Genomic DNA, 14,926 nt, shown 5'->3' on the forward strand with positions numbered 1-14,926 from the left:
CTGGGTGAGCTTGTTCTCACACTGCCCTCCTGCCACCCCCATTTCCAGAAAGGTGATGATAACCCTAGCAATCTTGAAAATCCACAGAACTGCTACCAGGTACCAGGAGCCGTTCTGAGCATTTTACCTATGCTATCTAACTTATTCCTCACCCCAACCAAGAGTATGTTTTCTCCGTTTCATGGGAAACTGAAGTTCGGCCTGGTTGAGCAACTGCCTAAGCTGATAGTGGCCCAGCTGGGGCTTGAATTCAGGTCCCTGTGGTCTGGAGCATGCTAATCCTGTGGCATGTCTCCCCCTAGTGGTCCTTCCAGAAACTGCAGCCGCCGCCCCTGCTCCTCCCAGGGCCAACATCAGGGATCAACATCCCCTGACCCCCTCAAGGCAGCAGGTTCTGCTGACACAAGCCACCCAATTCTTCATTCCATTCCTTTAAAACCCTCCAAGCCTGGAGTCTCCACCCCTGCCTAAGCCCCCAGCCTCTCCTGCCTGATGATTTAGCAGCCACCCTGTAGGCCTCCCGGCCAGCCCTGGAACCCACACCCTGACGATCTGTGCTCTACTGGGGAGCCAGATGGAGTTTTAGAAAATGCAAATCTGACCATGTGGATCTATACTGAATCCCCCAGTCCTCGGGGTCTTCTGGACCTTGTCCATATCCTTAGGACAACGTATAAGGCTCACCTCCATCTGTTGCTTCTGTTTCCCCCATGGCTACCACCCTAATCAATGCTCCAGCCAACAGGAGTGCTGGGACTTCCTAGACAGCCTTCCATGAAGCCTCTCTTCATGCCCTGGAGCTTCTATCCACATTGTCACCTCAGTCTGGCATGCCCTTACTTGGCTTGATGAGTTCCTATTCCATGGACCAACTCAAACTCTGCCCACCTCTGGACTGTCCACACCATCCCAGGATGGGGCCCTCCTCCGAAATAGGTGGGTACACAGGGACCCACTGGAGGGACAGCCACTGTGGCACGGAGGTGGTGCAGACCAGCCTGGAGGCAGAAGGCAGGAGGCTGGGACATCCCGAGTGTGGCTTCAGTCTACCACCTGGCCCTTTAGCCCTGAGTGCCCCCCTCTAACTCCCCTGCACACCACCCTGTGGCCCTACTCAGTCTGCCAGTGGAAGGAGGGGCAGAGGGGCCTTCCTCTGTCACCACGTAAGCAGCAATAGCATCCTCTCTGATTCCTCTCAAGTCCCAGAAAAGCGTCAGAGGCTGACACCAGGTGCAGGGGTCCTGTCCCCCTTTTTCCTGTTTTCCACCTTGATCCATCCCTCCCTTGAGGTTATGAATAAGGAACAGCCCGGCTGCTTGAATGGGACTGGAGATGATGGAAGATTTATCTGCTACAGGCTCAGAACTCTATTTCCCTAAATTCTTCCCCCTAAAAAATCGTTATGTTCCCACAGAAGAACTCTCTTTTCCCCCTCCCCCCACCTCTCCCCAGCCTGGCTCACTGAGGGCATTGCCTGGGGACCAGGGGATGTCTGTTGTTGGACTTAGCCTGGGAGGAGATACAGAGGATGCTGCTGCAGTTTCTGGATTGACCACTAGGGGGAGGTGTGTGCCACTGGTCTCAGGGCACTTCAGAGGTCCTGGAGGAGCCAGGCCTGAGAGGGTAGGGTGAGAGGTCTGACTCTGGACTGGGTTTCCCAAGTCTCCTGCACACCCAGCTCCCCCCAGCCCTCACTTTCCCTCCCTCTCGCACGTGACAGCTAGTCCTGTTTTCATCCTGGGCTGAGGCAGCATTTGTGCCCCAGCCCCATGTTCCCAGATGAGTCGCTGCTTGCCACCTCCTCTTCACACCCTGGAGAGTGGGTCAGCAGCTGTCTCCTCTGCTGGTCCTGTGTTAGTGACTGATGCCTGCAAGAGGCAGGGTTAGTGGCTGGATCAGACACAGACCTGGTGCACGAGGCCAGTCGTCAGGACCTGTCGCTGGCGGAGGGTGGCACGCGGAGGTGACATGCTGGAGAGGGCAGTGGGCGGACCTTTTCAGATGCGCTGGGGGCTCCTCGCTGACCTTCTGGAATAGTATAGACTGCAGCTTAAAGCCAGACTGGGGCCAGAACCAAGTGGCAGTCAGTTCCTGGACAGGCTGGGGGAATTTCTACATGCTTTGACAGAAGGTTTATGTTCCCTCCAAATTTGTATGTTAAAATTGAATCCCCACTGTGATGGCATTAGGATGTGGAGCCTGTCCTTTGGGCCAGGTCTGTGTGTCCAGATGGCGCCAGGGGGCAGCATCGCCCCATTATAAATCCCAGAACCACCAGAGAAGGCCCAAGTTCCTGCCTTCCCACATCCCAGGTGTCTGCTCAGGGGGAAGGTGGATTACAGCTCTCAGCCAGGAATTTTATTTTTCACTTAAAAACTATTGTTGGAGCGAGACTCCATCTCAAAAAAAAAAAACAAAACTATTGTTTTTCATTGGAGGAGAAGATGGGAAAGCGTATATACTCTTTACTGAAAAACTTGGAAATGCAGAAAAATAGAACAAAGGGAAAATTGACAGAAAGGCAAGTGCCTAAGGAGGGCAGAACTCAGAAGGCACAACAAGCCTCACCCCTTGACAGGAATCCTCCCACTCCAGGAAGGGGCTCTGTTCCTCCTGCCCTGGACTCAAGCCCCCATTTGACTCAGTGGAGCAACTGCTCTGAGGACCCTCCACGGCTCCCCCAGGCTGGGGCGGGCATAGGTGAGACACTGGGCCAGGCCTTTCAGGCCTCCTGGCCTTGTGCAGTTGGCCCAGCACAGTGCGGTGGGGGTCATTACAGACAGCACAGGACCGACGGATGGGCGTGGACCTCATCGGAGGCACTGCCCATGGGTGGCACAGAAGGGGCCTGAGAGAGAAGTTCATCCAGCAGAGAAGGGTGGGAAAAGCACAGGGAAGGAAGGAGGCAGATGCCCTGGGGGAGGAGGGCATGGAGGTCGAGAAGACAAGGTAAGCGGAGGCACAGGAGAGACTAAGCAGTGGAGAGGCCAGAGTGTGGCTGGGTGCCAAGTGTCCAAGGTGAAGGCTGTGCCCTGGGTCACTGCTTTTGCCCCTGGAGCCCAGCCAGCCTGGGCCCCAGGCACCTCTGGGTCTTAGCTAGTCTCTTCTCCCCATTCCTCCCTCTCTGATCCCAGGCCAGCCCAGCCCAGACTGGCCGCTGTGGAGACGGTAAGACTGGACGACTGTGGCCTGAGGAGGGGTGGGTGGAGGGAGGCGGAAGGACAGGATGGAGCCATGGCAGACACTGTGTGTTTAACACCAACAAGAAGGAGCAAGGGCAGAGGGAGAGAGGTGCTGGAGGAAATAGGGGCTGGTCCAGCAGAGGGGAATCCCTGGGCCCAGGAAGATGGGGGACCCATGGTGGGAGAGAGGGAGAGGAGGCAGAGGTGGTGTGGACCAGGGGTGGGGGCTAGGGGCCCAACTTTCCCCCTTGAAAGCCTCAGATCAAGCTCAACGAGGTGGGTCAGCAAAGTTGCTGCTGCCCTCCTGGACTGAGAAGGGACTCAAAGAATCCCCACAATGACCCAGGCACCCAGGCTGTGATTATCCCCATTACACAGACAGAGACTGAGGCAGAAAAATGAAGGTTATTTGAGTCCAGAGCCTCTGAATCCTTAAGCAACAGTGGTTCACTAATGCCCACTGAGGCCCAGGAATTCTTTTAAGTCTGACCCTGGATGTGCCTGGGGTCTCCCCTTGACTGGATCCAAGCCTCCCGTGTTAACTTCTGCCCTACAACCTCCTGGTTCCAGGCCCACAGTGAGCAGCGCAGCCTTAGCGCCTCAGCTCCATGCTTCTCACCTGACCACTCTCATATTGCCCAGTAAATGCCTCTACACGCCCATCTGTCCTGTCCTCCTACCTGGCACCCCCTCCCCACAACCAACACACACATTGGGGGCTTAGATCCAGGGAGGTGGTCCTCTGTGCTCCTCTTTGTCTCTGTCCCCATGCCTTAAGGAACTTCTGAGAGAGACCCTGGCTCCCAGCTGTCCCCTGCCATGGCTGGTTGTCAAGGCCTCCTCCAGCTCCCACTCAGGCTCCCCAAAGACCCCAAGCTCAACTCTACCTCCAGCCATGGCTCATGAGTGACCCCTTCCCTTTCCCTTCCATGAGCCCTCCCTGCCCTGTGGGGTCCATGGAATCCTTCTGGTGTGAGGCCTCCTTCCCTCCTCCTCAGACTCATGAGCCCTTGACCCAGGGTGCTCCCGGGACCTGCTTTGGCAGAGACTTGCCTGGGGCCTGCACTTGGAGACTCAGCCCTTTCCTGGAGGGAAAGTGGGCTGTGCTGGAGATCAGCGGGCAGCAAGGACAGCAGGCTGTGTGGATGATGTGTGTGCCCTGAGGGGCCAAGTCAGGGTGTCAGGGAGGGAGGACAGCTGTGGGGAGGCAACGGAGGGCAGCGGGCGCCGGAGCGAAGGCCGAGCAGCAGAGCAGGGGTCTCCTTCCCTGCCTCCCTTCGTGAGCACCAGCTGCGCACCTGCTCTGTGTCCTGATCCCATGGGCTGGGCCGAGGCCCTCCTGAGCATAAGGAATAAAAACACTGGGCAGCCGCCACTACCATTCAGAGAGCCTTGAATCAGGGAGGATGTCCCCATGCAGTGGGTCTGTGATCAACATGACTCCCCTGCTCTCCCAGGCTGATGGCCAGACTCAAGAGCTGCCCCTGGCAGCCTTGGACCACCTCCTCCCCACCAGGACAAGTGGAAAGACTGAGGAGGATGGTTCCCTGTCCTGGTGTTCCAAGCTGGCTCTTTCTGGAAAATCTGTATGGCTCAGCCACTTTGCCATCAGTCAGGCTCGAGCACCAGGATGCAGGTGGCGTTTGCCTCCTGGGGCTGGGGTGGGGAGGCTTTAGGGCCCTGGGGAGGGGTCTACACAGGCCCACTTCCCATGAGGGAAACCTAAATTTACACTCACCTCCAGGGAATGAGAAGGCTGGGAGGCTGGTCCGGACCCTGGTAACCATTCCCTCTCTTTGATGGACAGCGAGACTGAGGCTAGATGGAGGCACCTAGCAAGCCAAAACAGAAAACCAAAACAGAAACACCTTCCCTTGCAGATATCCAGTGCATCTCCCAACAGCCTGCAAAAGTAGTGCTGCATGCCCTGTGGGGTGAGCCAGCCGGGGCTCAGAAGGGGCAGGCCACAGGCCAAGGACATGCAGCGAGCTGTGCCTGCCCAAACAGGGCCTCAGGGAAAGTCTGAGGGACCCGTGAGGGATCCAGAAGAGTCTTGGAGGAGGCTCATTCCAGAACCACTCGTCCTGCTGAGAGCAGAAAGCCCACATCTGCCACCTCAATTCTGACCCATCAGTTCCAGGGGGATGCAGGTGCGCGAGCCGGGCAAGGGCCTGGGACTTCCACCTGGCATCTTGACCCAGACTCTAGCTCCAGACATAGAGGGCAGGAACGGATGCCTGCAGGACTTCAGAAATTAAACAGGCTTCTGGTCTCATGATTTCTCCTGCTTTTGATTTTTAATGCACCTCCCGATGGCTCTTCCCAAGAGGGCACACATAGGCTGTGGCCCCTCTGGGTGCCTGATGATCCTCCCAGCCAGAGATGAGGCTCAGAGCAGAGACTCAGGAGCAGGGGATGCATTTCTGGCCCTAGAGGGAGTACACCAGGCGAGTAGTAGACACAGGTCAGGGAGGGCACTGTGGTGGGAAGGCCTGGCACACCCATTGGGCGTTTGTGTCCACAAGGACTCCTCTGCCTGAGTGATGTGCATGGTGGAGTTGCCAGATCCTGAGGGAAAAAAAGGAAGCCCCAAGAACAAAGAAGCAAACAAGGAGGTCTCATTGTCCTTGGCCATCCTCAAAAGTTGACACCCCGCCACTACTTTCTGCCTGGCTCACTCTCCACAGCCCCTCTGGTGTTGGGAGCCTCCTCTTTACCAGTGACTTCCAAATGCCCTGACTTCCGGACCCACATGGCCACAACTGACTGAGTCTTCCTGGAGGTCCCCTGGCCTCTCAAACTTGCCATTCCAGTGCAACATGGGCTGACCTCTCAAACTTCCCTGTGACCTTGTGTCTCCCCCATCACAGCAAATGGTCTCCATGTCTCTGCCTATGAGTGTGGGCCTTGTGCTCCCTGTCCCCCACCCCATGGGACCACCAGAAGTGAGCTCTCCGAGTGCAAGGGGCCTGTGAGGTGCGTACTCCGCAGCAAACCCTCCCGGAAGCTTGGCTGAATAGATGCAGAGACCACATGTGGTTGAGGGTTAACCACCCTCAGATCCTCCCAGGCCTCCCTGGCACTCCCCAGTGCCAGGAACCTGGGAATACCAAGAGGCCAAACTGGAATTGGAGCTTGGCGAGGGCAGCTTCCCTTTTTGAGGTGTACATTTGGGGACCGAGACAGAGGGGATGCACGTGGGGACAGAATGGGGCTGAAACCGCAGAAGCCAGAGATGTTGCTTCATATGTCTGGTGTGGCCTGGAGTGACAAGGGAAGGACAAACCACTCATGGTGCCATGCGGTACCAGGATCTCCTGTCGGTGATGCAGGACCCAGGAGCCCTGACTCAGGTGGAGGCCGGACTCCCTACCTCACCACGTGTGTCCAGAAGGTTGCCCTCTGCGGCTAGGGCTGGGCAAGGGGCAGCTGTCCCTGGAAACTCCAGCAGGCCTCGCTCCTCTGCCCAGTTTGGGCTTCAGAAATCTCCCCTAGCACTGGGCAGAGGAGAAATTGAAGGATTGTCTCTTCCCTGGGAGGATCTCCCACAGAGTTTCCTGGGGCAGGCAACAGTTTCCTCGGTGAGGCAGTGGCCATTAACCCATTGTACAGATGCAGGGGTTGAGGCTCAGGGAGGAGGGACTTTCCTAGGCTTCAGGGATTGGTGGTGGCTGGGTAAGGGCAAGAGCCCAAGCCTGGGGCATAGAGATGCCTGGATGGCAGGATCTGCTGGGGAAACTCTGCCTTCAGCCCAGACTTCCCTGGGACAGTCACAGGCCACTCCAGCCTACCTGCGAACACCTGGCAGGCATCTCTCTTTACAGCTGCCTTGAGGGGACAAGCACGCTGGGTCCACCCCCTGCTGGTCCAGCCAGGTGATCAGCATTTCCCAACTTCCTGACCCCAAGACAATGGAAAATGCTAGGATAGCAGGAACAGATATGGGTTCAAATTCTGGTTCTGCGGTCACTGATTGTGTGGACTGGGCTGACCACTGGTCTCCCAGATCTCAGGTCCCCAGAGATAACAAGAACCCTCATCAAGGGTTGGACAGGTCAAAGAAGGATCAGATCAGCCCCAAAGCCTGTGCGGGGGTGCCATGGTACCGAAGGGACTTTGAGGCCCATTTCCTTCCCCTTGTGATAATGTCTCTCGTGATAAGGATCCTGGAGTGACTCAAGCCCCTGTTTCCTACAGAGCCTGTGGGGTGGACACGCATAGGAAACTCCTTCCAGAGGGTTTTCTCCTGTCTCTGTAGGAAGGGGGGCCCCAGAGGGGTCATACCACCCATCGTGGTCCCCGCCTCTGCCCTGCCACAGCCCCATCGGAGCCCCTGAGTCAGCATGGCTGGCTATCGGTTGACACTGTTTAAAATACAGTGCAATCTAGGAATGCCTGCCTGTGTCATGGCCTCAGCCCTGATGTCATCTTTCCATGAGAAAGATGTGTGGCTGCCCACAAACCTCATCACCAAACCCATGGATTTCTGTCCTGTTTGTGCTGACTTGGGCACCTGCAGGCCACCACTGCCGAAATGGATTTCTTATTATGACTCTTGCTTTCCTCCTTTCCTTCCCTCCTAGGCCCTTGGCCACTGGCCTGTTACTTGCCCATCTGTTATGTCCCAGCCCTTAAACACAGCTTTGCTGGCCCTCAGCTCTTCTTCCTGAATAACTTCCGTGGCCTCAGCTACCACACAGACATGTACCGCTGCCAGATCTGTCTCCTGTACATGCAGACTCTGAAACTCCAAAACTTCCCGTGGGCCTCACGCTCTGAAGATCTGCTCCTTTGTCCCCTGGGTCCTCACCTTAGCCATGTGGACAGTGATTCTAACTCCTCTTACTCACATTCAAAGCACACTTTGGTGGGGGGGGAGGGGGGTGAGTAGACTAATCTTGCTCCTCCATGGATGGGGTTAAAAAGTCCTTGGAGGCAGGACCCTGACCGTTTTTGTCATCCTTATGTCCCTTTTCCCTGCTGGGAACCTAGTAGATGCTCAAAAAATAATGAATGACTGAGTGACTTCACTATAGCACCAAGTCCTGTTGAGATTCTACCTCCTCAATCTCTCTGGAGTCTGCCTGCTGTTCCTTATACCCATTCCTAAAACCCCAGGGCTCCCTGTGCCCAGAACATTCTCCCCTGTCCTCTCCTGCCCCTCTCCTTCCAACCCAACGTACCCACCTGACTTCTAGCCTTTCAGCCTGGGCTTGCAGGCAGGATCTCTAGTGAAGCTCTCTGGTCCCCTTGGATCCCCAAGCTAGAGAAGGTGGCCCTCTGGGATCCCTCAGCTCTGGACTTCCCCCTGCCGAGTCAAGGTCACACCATGGGAGGGTCCATTGCAGTCTGTTTCCTACCAGACTGGGAGCCTCAAGGGCCAAATGTGAGGGCCAGTGGGAGGGTCCCGTTTACCTCCCCAGAACAGGTCCTGGTGTGGATTGGAAAGACTTGTTGACTGACTGTCTGAGCTATGACAACTCATTTCTAGGAGGAAAGTGACCTTCTCTCCCAGATGGGTCATACAGGCTCTCTGCCTCCCTGGCCATCAGCTGAACCACTATCTATGGCTCCCTTCCCTGCCCTCCAGCCTCCAGGGTGCTATCCAACACATGTGATATCTACATGTAGTATCCATGTCCTCATCTCTCCCCCGAGAGCTCCCTGGAAAGAGCTGAGCCAAGGCCTTGCAAAAAAGGTGGAGAAAGGGCCAGGGCCTGGACATTTCATGTTCCCACCCCAGCCTGGCCACTAGGAGTGTTCTACGCAGGCTCAGATGGATGGGGCTGGCCTCACAGTGGGGTCTGGAGGACTAAGGTTTGGTTTCTCTATGCAAGGTCAGAAAAACTCCCACAGTACAGGGAAACTGGCCAGGGCTGCAGACTCAGACCACAGTGCTAAAGCCATGAACTCCACCTGCTCTCTGAAGGCTCGCCAACCTGAGTCCAGCAGAATGTTCTCGCTTGTGTCCAACCCCACTGGTTTAGGCTGAATCAGCCTCTAGGGCCCAGAGGCACTGCACCTGGAGTAGGGAGCTTCTCCAGTATCAGAGTCACCTTCAGAGGCCTGGAGCCTTTCATAAAGCAGGTAAGAGGACTCAATAGATGCATCTGCATGGAAAACATCCTCCCCTCTACCAGGCACCTGTATGTACAACCAATCACAGCAGCACACATACACCCAGAAATGGGCACGTGTGGGCCCACACCCCTTTAGCTATGAAACCCAGGCATGGGGCAGCTTGAGCCAGATACCTTGTGCAAACACAAACTCGTGCTGTCTTCTCTGAACTCCATTGTGAAAATCAAACACTTGTCAGCCCCTCAAGAGCCTTTAGATTTCCTACTTCCACACTTCCACAGAAAGGCCTCTGGAGTTGGGGGATGCTGGGGTTATGTAGGAAATTAAGCCTGGAGGGCCTTGCTGGGGAAGCCATTGTCCCTGTACCTGAGATGGATGCAGCCACAGCCCTGGAGCCAGCCTGAAGCTCCTGGTGTCTTCTGGGGGCTACATATAGGAGTGTAGTCCGAACCTCAGAGGGGCAAACCTGCTCTGCAGAGGGAATCAAGGTTCACATAACCAGAGAGGGGAGTCACTCAGGAAGGTGGCTCCAGAGCCAAGAGTCAGACTCTGGGTCCCGACTTGACCCAGCCACACCCCCTCTGAAGCTTGCTGAGAGTGGCTGCAGTCTCGCTGCTGGATGTGCACATGGTGGTCATTCCCTCTGCTCACAGGGGCAGGGGTCCCCCCTTACTGGACTGAGGTTGCCCCCTGCTCCAGGTCCTGGGTGGGAGCCCATGTGAACTGTCAGTGGGGCAGGTCTGTGAGAGCTCCCCTCACACTCAAGTCTCTCACAGTGGCCAGAGAAGAGGAAGGCTGGAGTCAGAATGAGGCACCAGGGCGGGCATAGCCTGCCCAAAGGCCCCTGGGATTACAGGCAGGATGGGGAGCCCTATCTAAGTGTCTCCCACGCCCCACCCCAGCCATTCCAGGCCAGGAAGTCCAAACTGTGCCCCTCAGAGGGAGGGGGCAGCCTCAGGCCCATTCAGACTGCCCAGGGAGGGCTGGAGAGCCCTCAGGAAGGCGGGTGGGTGGGCTGTCGGTTCTTGGAAAGGTTCATTAATGAAAACCCCCAAGCCTGACCACCTAGGGAAAAGGCTCACCGTTCCCATGTGTGGCTGATAAGGGCCAGGAGATTCCACAGTTCAGGTAGTTCCCCCGCCTCCCTGGCATTTTGTGGTCACCATTAATCATTTCCTCTGTGTATTTAAGAGCTCTTTTGCCAGTGAGCCCAGTACACAGAGAGAAAGGCTAAAGTTCTCTGGAGGATGTGGCTGCAGAGCCTGCTGCTCTTGGGCACTGTGGCCTGCAGCATCTCTGCACCCGCCCGCTCGCCCAGCCCCAGCACGCAGCCCTGGGAGCATGTGAATGCCATCCAGGAGGCCCGGCGTCTCCTGAACCTGAGTAGAGACACTGCTGCTGAGATGGTAAGTGAGAGAATGTGGGCCTGTGCCTAGGCCACCCAGCTGGCCCCTGACTGGCCACGCCTGTCAGCTTGATAACATGACATTTTCCTTTTCTACAGAATGAAACAGTAGAAGTCATCTCAGAAATGTTTGACCTCCAGGTAAGATGCTTCTCTCTGACATAGCTTTCCAGAAGCCCCTGCCCTGGGGTGGAGGTGGGGACTCCATTTTAGATGGCACCACACAGGGTTGTCCACTTTCTCTCCAGTCAGCTGGCTGCAGGAGGAGGGGGTAGCAACTGGGTGCTCAAGAGGCTGCTGGCCGTGCCCCTATGGCAGTCACATGAGCTCCTTTATCAGCTGAGCGGCCATGGGCAGACCTAGCATTCAATGGCCAGGAGTCACCAGGGGACAGGTGGTAAAGTGGGGGTCACTTCATGAGACAGGAGCTGTGGGTTTGGGGCGCTCACTGTGCCCCGAGACCAAGTCCTGTTGAGACAGTGCTGACTACAGAGAGGCACAGAGGGGTTTCAGGAACAACCCTTGCCCACCCAGCAGGTCCAGGTGAGGCCCCACCCCCCTCTCCCTGAATGATGGGGTGAGAGTCACCTCCTTCCCTAAGGCTGGGCTCCTCTCCAGGTGCCGCTGAGGGTGGCCTGGGCGGGGCAGTGAGAAGGGCAGGTTCGTGCCTGCCATGGACAGGGCAGGGTCTATGACTGGACCCAGCCTGTGCCCCTCCCAAGCCCTACTCCTGGGGGCTGGGGGCAGCAGCAAAAAGGAGTGGTGGAGAGTTCTTGTACCACTGTGGGCACTTGGCCACTGCTCACCGACGAACGACATTTTCCACAGGAGCCGACCTGCCTACAGACCCGCCTGGAGCTGTACAAGCAGGGCCTGCGGGGCAGCCTCACCAAGCTCAAGGGCCCCTTGACCATGATGGCCAGCCACTACAAGCAGCACTGCCCTCCAACCCCGGTGAGTGCCTACGGCAGGGCCTCCAGCAGGAATGTCTTAATCTAGGGGGTGGGGTCGACATGGGGAGAGATCTATGGCTGTGGCTGTTCAGGACCCCAGGGGGTTTCTGTGCCAACAGTTATGTAATGATTAGCCCTCCAGAGAGGAGGCAGACAGCCCATTTCATCCCAAGGAGTCAGAGCCACAGAGCGCTGAAGCCCACAGTGCTCCCCAGCAGGAGCTGCTCCTATCCTGGTCATTATTGTCATTATGGTTAATGAGGTCAGAGGTGAGGGCAAACCCAAGGAAACTTGGGGCCTGCCCAAGGCCCAGAGGAAGTGCCCAGGCCCAAGTGCCACCTTCTGGCAGGACTTTCCTCTGGCCCCACATGGGGTGCTTGAATTGCAGAGGATCAAGGAAGGGAGGCTACTTGGAATGGACAAGGACCTCAGGCACTCCTTCCTGCGGGAAGGGAGCAAAGTTTGTGGCCTTGACTCCACTCCTTCTGGGTGCCCAGAGACGACCTCAGCCCAGCTGCCCTGCTCTGCCCTGGGACCAAAAAGGCAGGCGTTTGACTGCCCAGAAGGCCAACCTCAGGCTGGCACTTAAGTCAGGCCCTTGACTCTGGCTGCCACTGGCAGAGCTATGCACTCCTTGGGGAACACGTGGGTGGCAGCAGCGTCACCTGACCCAGGTCAGTGGGTGTGTCCTGGAGTGGGCCTCCTGGCCTCTGAGTTCTAAGAGGCAGTAGAGAAACATGCTGGTGCTTCCTTCCCCCACGTTACCCACTTGCCTGGACTCAAGTGTTTTTTATTTTTCTTTTTTTAAAGGAAACTTCCTGTGCAACCCAGATTATCACCTTTGAAAGTTTCAAAGAGAACCTGAAGGACTTTCTGCTTGTCATCCCCTTTGACTGCTGGGAGCCAGTCCAGGAGTGAGACCGGCCAGATGAGGCTGGCCAAGCCGGGGAGCTGCTCTCTCATGAAACAAGAGCTAGAAACTCAGGATGGTCATCTTGGAGGGACCAAGGGGTGGGCCACAGCCATGGTGGGAGTGGCCTGGACCTGCCCTGGGCCACACTGACCCTGATACAGGCATGGCAGAAGAATGGGAATATTTTATACTGACAGAAATCAGTAATATTTATATATTTATATTTTTAAAATATTTATTTATTTATTTATTTAAGTTCATATTCCATATTTATTCAAGATGTTTTACCGTAATAATTATTATTAAAAATATGCTTCTACTTGTCCAGTGTTCTAGTTTGTTTTTAACCATGAGCAAATGCCAGTGGTGCCTGCCTTCCCATGAGGCAGGGGAGGGAGGAAACGGGGAGGTGGAGAGGGGGCGGGGGCCTCCCAGGCGTTGGGCACTATCCAAGGGCCAACACTGTCAGAGCAGAGGGGAGGTGAGAGCCGGGCATAGGTGCGGAATTCTGCACACCTGGACGGGCTTCCCGGGATGCTCCAGGGCTCCCACCCCAGAGAATGGCTCTCAAGTTCACCTGGAAGTCCAAGTGACCAGCCCAGGGAACTCTTATCCCAGAGAAGGGCACCACCCTTCCTGGGGAGGCCTGGGGGTTGGCTGGTCACTGGCTGAACAGGCCCACTCTGGCATCAGGCAAAACACCTGCCCTGTAGAGGCCTTGGCCCCTGTGCCCCACGCCCTGCCCCTCACACTCTGAGATTTAACCATTCCGAAAGTAAACAGCAAAATAGACTAACTGTTCAGGGGAAAAGAAACCAAACCACAGGGGTCACAGTGCAGCGTATTTACCAAACTTGCCCCAAAATGGGTGATCTTAATCTCTGAGAGTCAGAATGTAAGGTCATAATTTGTTGGTACATGGCTGTAGTGCCGCATGTTTCTGAATTGGTTTTTATTTTTACATGAAATTTTGAATCTAATCAGGCACTTTCCCCTAAAACTCATGGCCTGCAGGCTAAAAACAAAGTAGGCCTCCTCCTTCTCCTTACTTTGACAGCTGGGCTCAAGGCCTTGTTCCTGAACCTGTTCCCTCATCTCCCTCCAGGACTATGAGGAAGTGGATGTGCCCCAAGTCTTAGGCGGGCAGCAGGGCCAGCTTCTCCTTGACAGGTGGGCCTAAGGAAGCTGGCTTGTGGCAGCTTTAGCCCCTGCCTGGCACTGTCTGCAGTCATGCGCCCACCACCCCTCTTGCTTCCTCTACTTCAGTCAGCACCTGCAGACAGCGCCAGGCCTGGCCAGAGACCCACTCCATGCTCATGCAGAAAGACCGTGACTTCAGGTGTGATTACAAATAAGAAGTCAGGGTGAACGCTCAGGATGAAGCCTGAGTGTCAGCACAGGCAAGAATCCATGAAGTGTGCTGTGGTTGTTGAAAATGCATGAAAATCACATCTTGCCCAGCGATAAGGTCCTCTCTGTCTTCCGCGTAAGCCAGTGATGACTGATAAGAGGTTTAGCATTTCCTTAGCCTCACATATATAGGTACCCCTCTCCACAGAAATGCTGCCAAGCCCAGGGCTCGGACCAGCTTGGAGTCACCTTCAAGTAATACCATGCACCTGTACGTGCTCCTGGCTCATGTGCTCTGGGGGTCAGAAAGCCATTCTTCCCAATGAAAGTAGCCACGATATCTCCCCACGAAAAGTACACAGCAGTCTGTGCTGACATTCAGAAAGAACTCTCGGCTGACAATAACACACACAAGATAAGTCTGGGTCTCCATCAAACGTTATTTTGCTCTTAGTGCCCCTTTGTGCTCCTGACCAATTTCTCTGGCTTCCGGGGTCCCTTCAATAGGCCCCAGAAAACCAGTGAGGTAAGAAACAGCTGCCCCGGGACCTTTCATACCACATTTGAACAGGGAGAGAGAGATCTCACCAGTCAGTGCCCAGGGAAGAGATAACAACAAGGGATAGTGGAGTGAGAAATCTGGGAGAAAGCTCAGAGTGTGGGGATGGAACCTCCAGCTCAGTCAGCAGGTGAGCCTCCCAACCAAGTGCAGCCCTGAGCCCAGGGAGAGACCAGATGCCCATTGCCTCCACTGTTTGGCCTGCGAGACCCACAGGTCTCCTTGTGGGAGAATCAGGGTAGGGCCTGAGCTTGGGTCCAGGGCTCCTTCCGGCCAGGTTGACCAGGGATGGATGAGGCTGGGTCATCTGGTGCCCTGCTGTGCACCAGAGCCCTGAACCTGTTTCAGGAGCTCTGCTATGAGGAGTTTACAAAGAACTTTACCTTCACCCTGAAGAGTCTCATTAACAAATATGACAAACAGGACCATCACATAACGAAGGTTTACATGGACATGGAATAACTCATCAAAATCTGCCCAAAG

The 14,926-nt window shown here is 55.7% G+C and overlaps 1 protein-coding gene across 1 annotated transcript, besides 6 other annotated features; it reads left to right on the forward strand.

Annotated features, from left to right (window-relative positions):
- Positions 167-1,166: an enhancer blocking element, noted in NCBI's record as "candidate insulator 5-1-1; CTCF association and DNase I hypersensitivity in multiple cell types". NCBI's record gives its function as "blocks activity of the beta-globin HS2 enhancer when located between the enhancer and the Agamma-globin gene promoter in a lentiviral reporter assay in K562 erythroleukemia cells {active_cell/tissue: K562}" and the evidence as "EXISTENCE:reporter gene assay evidence [ECO:0000049][PMID:24098520]".
- Positions 167-2,409: a biological region, named in NCBI's record as "enhancer-blocking elements downstream of IL3".
- Positions 667-1,665: an enhancer blocking element, noted in NCBI's record as "candidate insulator 5-1-2; CTCF association and DNase I hypersensitivity in multiple cell types". NCBI's record gives its function as "blocks activity of the beta-globin HS2 enhancer when located between the enhancer and the Agamma-globin gene promoter in a lentiviral reporter assay and also by colony assays in K562 erythroleukemia cells {active_cell/tissue: K562}" and the evidence as "EXISTENCE:reporter gene assay evidence [ECO:0000049][PMID:24098520]".
- Positions 667-1,665: an insulator, noted in NCBI's record as "candidate insulator 5-1-2; CTCF association and DNase I hypersensitivity in multiple cell types". NCBI's record gives its function as "protects against retroviral vector genotoxicity in a mouse in vivo tumor formation model" and the evidence as "EXISTENCE:in vivo assay evidence [ECO:0000178][PMID:24098520]".
- Positions 1,167-2,165: an enhancer blocking element, noted in NCBI's record as "candidate insulator 5-1-3; CTCF association and DNase I hypersensitivity in multiple cell types". NCBI's record gives its function as "blocks activity of the beta-globin HS2 enhancer when located between the enhancer and the Agamma-globin gene promoter in a lentiviral reporter assay in K562 erythroleukemia cells {active_cell/tissue: K562}" and the evidence as "EXISTENCE:reporter gene assay evidence [ECO:0000049][PMID:24098520]".
- Positions 1,903-2,409: an enhancer, noted in NCBI's record as "H3K4me1 hESC enhancer chr5:131400909-131401415 (GRCh37/hg19 assembly coordinates)". NCBI's record gives its function as "activates a minimal SCP1, AML or CMV promoter by ChIP-STARR-seq in naive H9 embryonic stem cells {active_cell/tissue: H9 hESC(naive)}" and the evidence as "EXISTENCE:reporter gene assay evidence [ECO:0000049][PMID:30033119]".
- Positions 10,476-12,857, forward strand: CSF2 (colony stimulating factor 2). Its single transcript, NM_000758.4, has 4 exons — positions 10,476-10,669; positions 10,768-10,809; positions 11,497-11,622; positions 12,432-12,857. The coding sequence occupies exons 1-4, from the start codon at positions 10,511-10,513 to the stop codon at positions 12,537-12,539; spliced, it is 435 nt and encodes a 144-aa protein (NP_000749.2). The 5' UTR covers positions 10,476-10,510; the 3' UTR covers positions 12,540-12,857.

Source organism: Homo sapiens, chromosome 5 (assembly GCF_000001405.40).
Source record: "Homo sapiens chromosome 5, GRCh38.p14 Primary Assembly".
NCBI lineage: Eukaryota > Metazoa > Chordata > Mammalia > Primates > Hominidae > Homo > Homo sapiens.

Bases quoted from the DNA above. Each gene is read 5' to 3' on its own strand.
- CSF2 (NM_000758.4), top strand. From the start codon at position 10,511: ATGTGGCTGCAGAGCCTGCTGCTCTTGGGCACTGTGGCCTGCAGCATC. The intron at 10,670-10,767 runs GTAAGTGAGAGA...CCTTTTCTACAG, and splicing joins GAGACACTGCTGCTGAGATG to AATGAAACAGTAGAAGTCAT. The intron at 10,810-11,496 runs GTAAGATGCTTC...CATTTTCCACAG, and splicing joins CAGAAATGTTTGACCTCCAG to GAGCCGACCTGCCTACAGAC.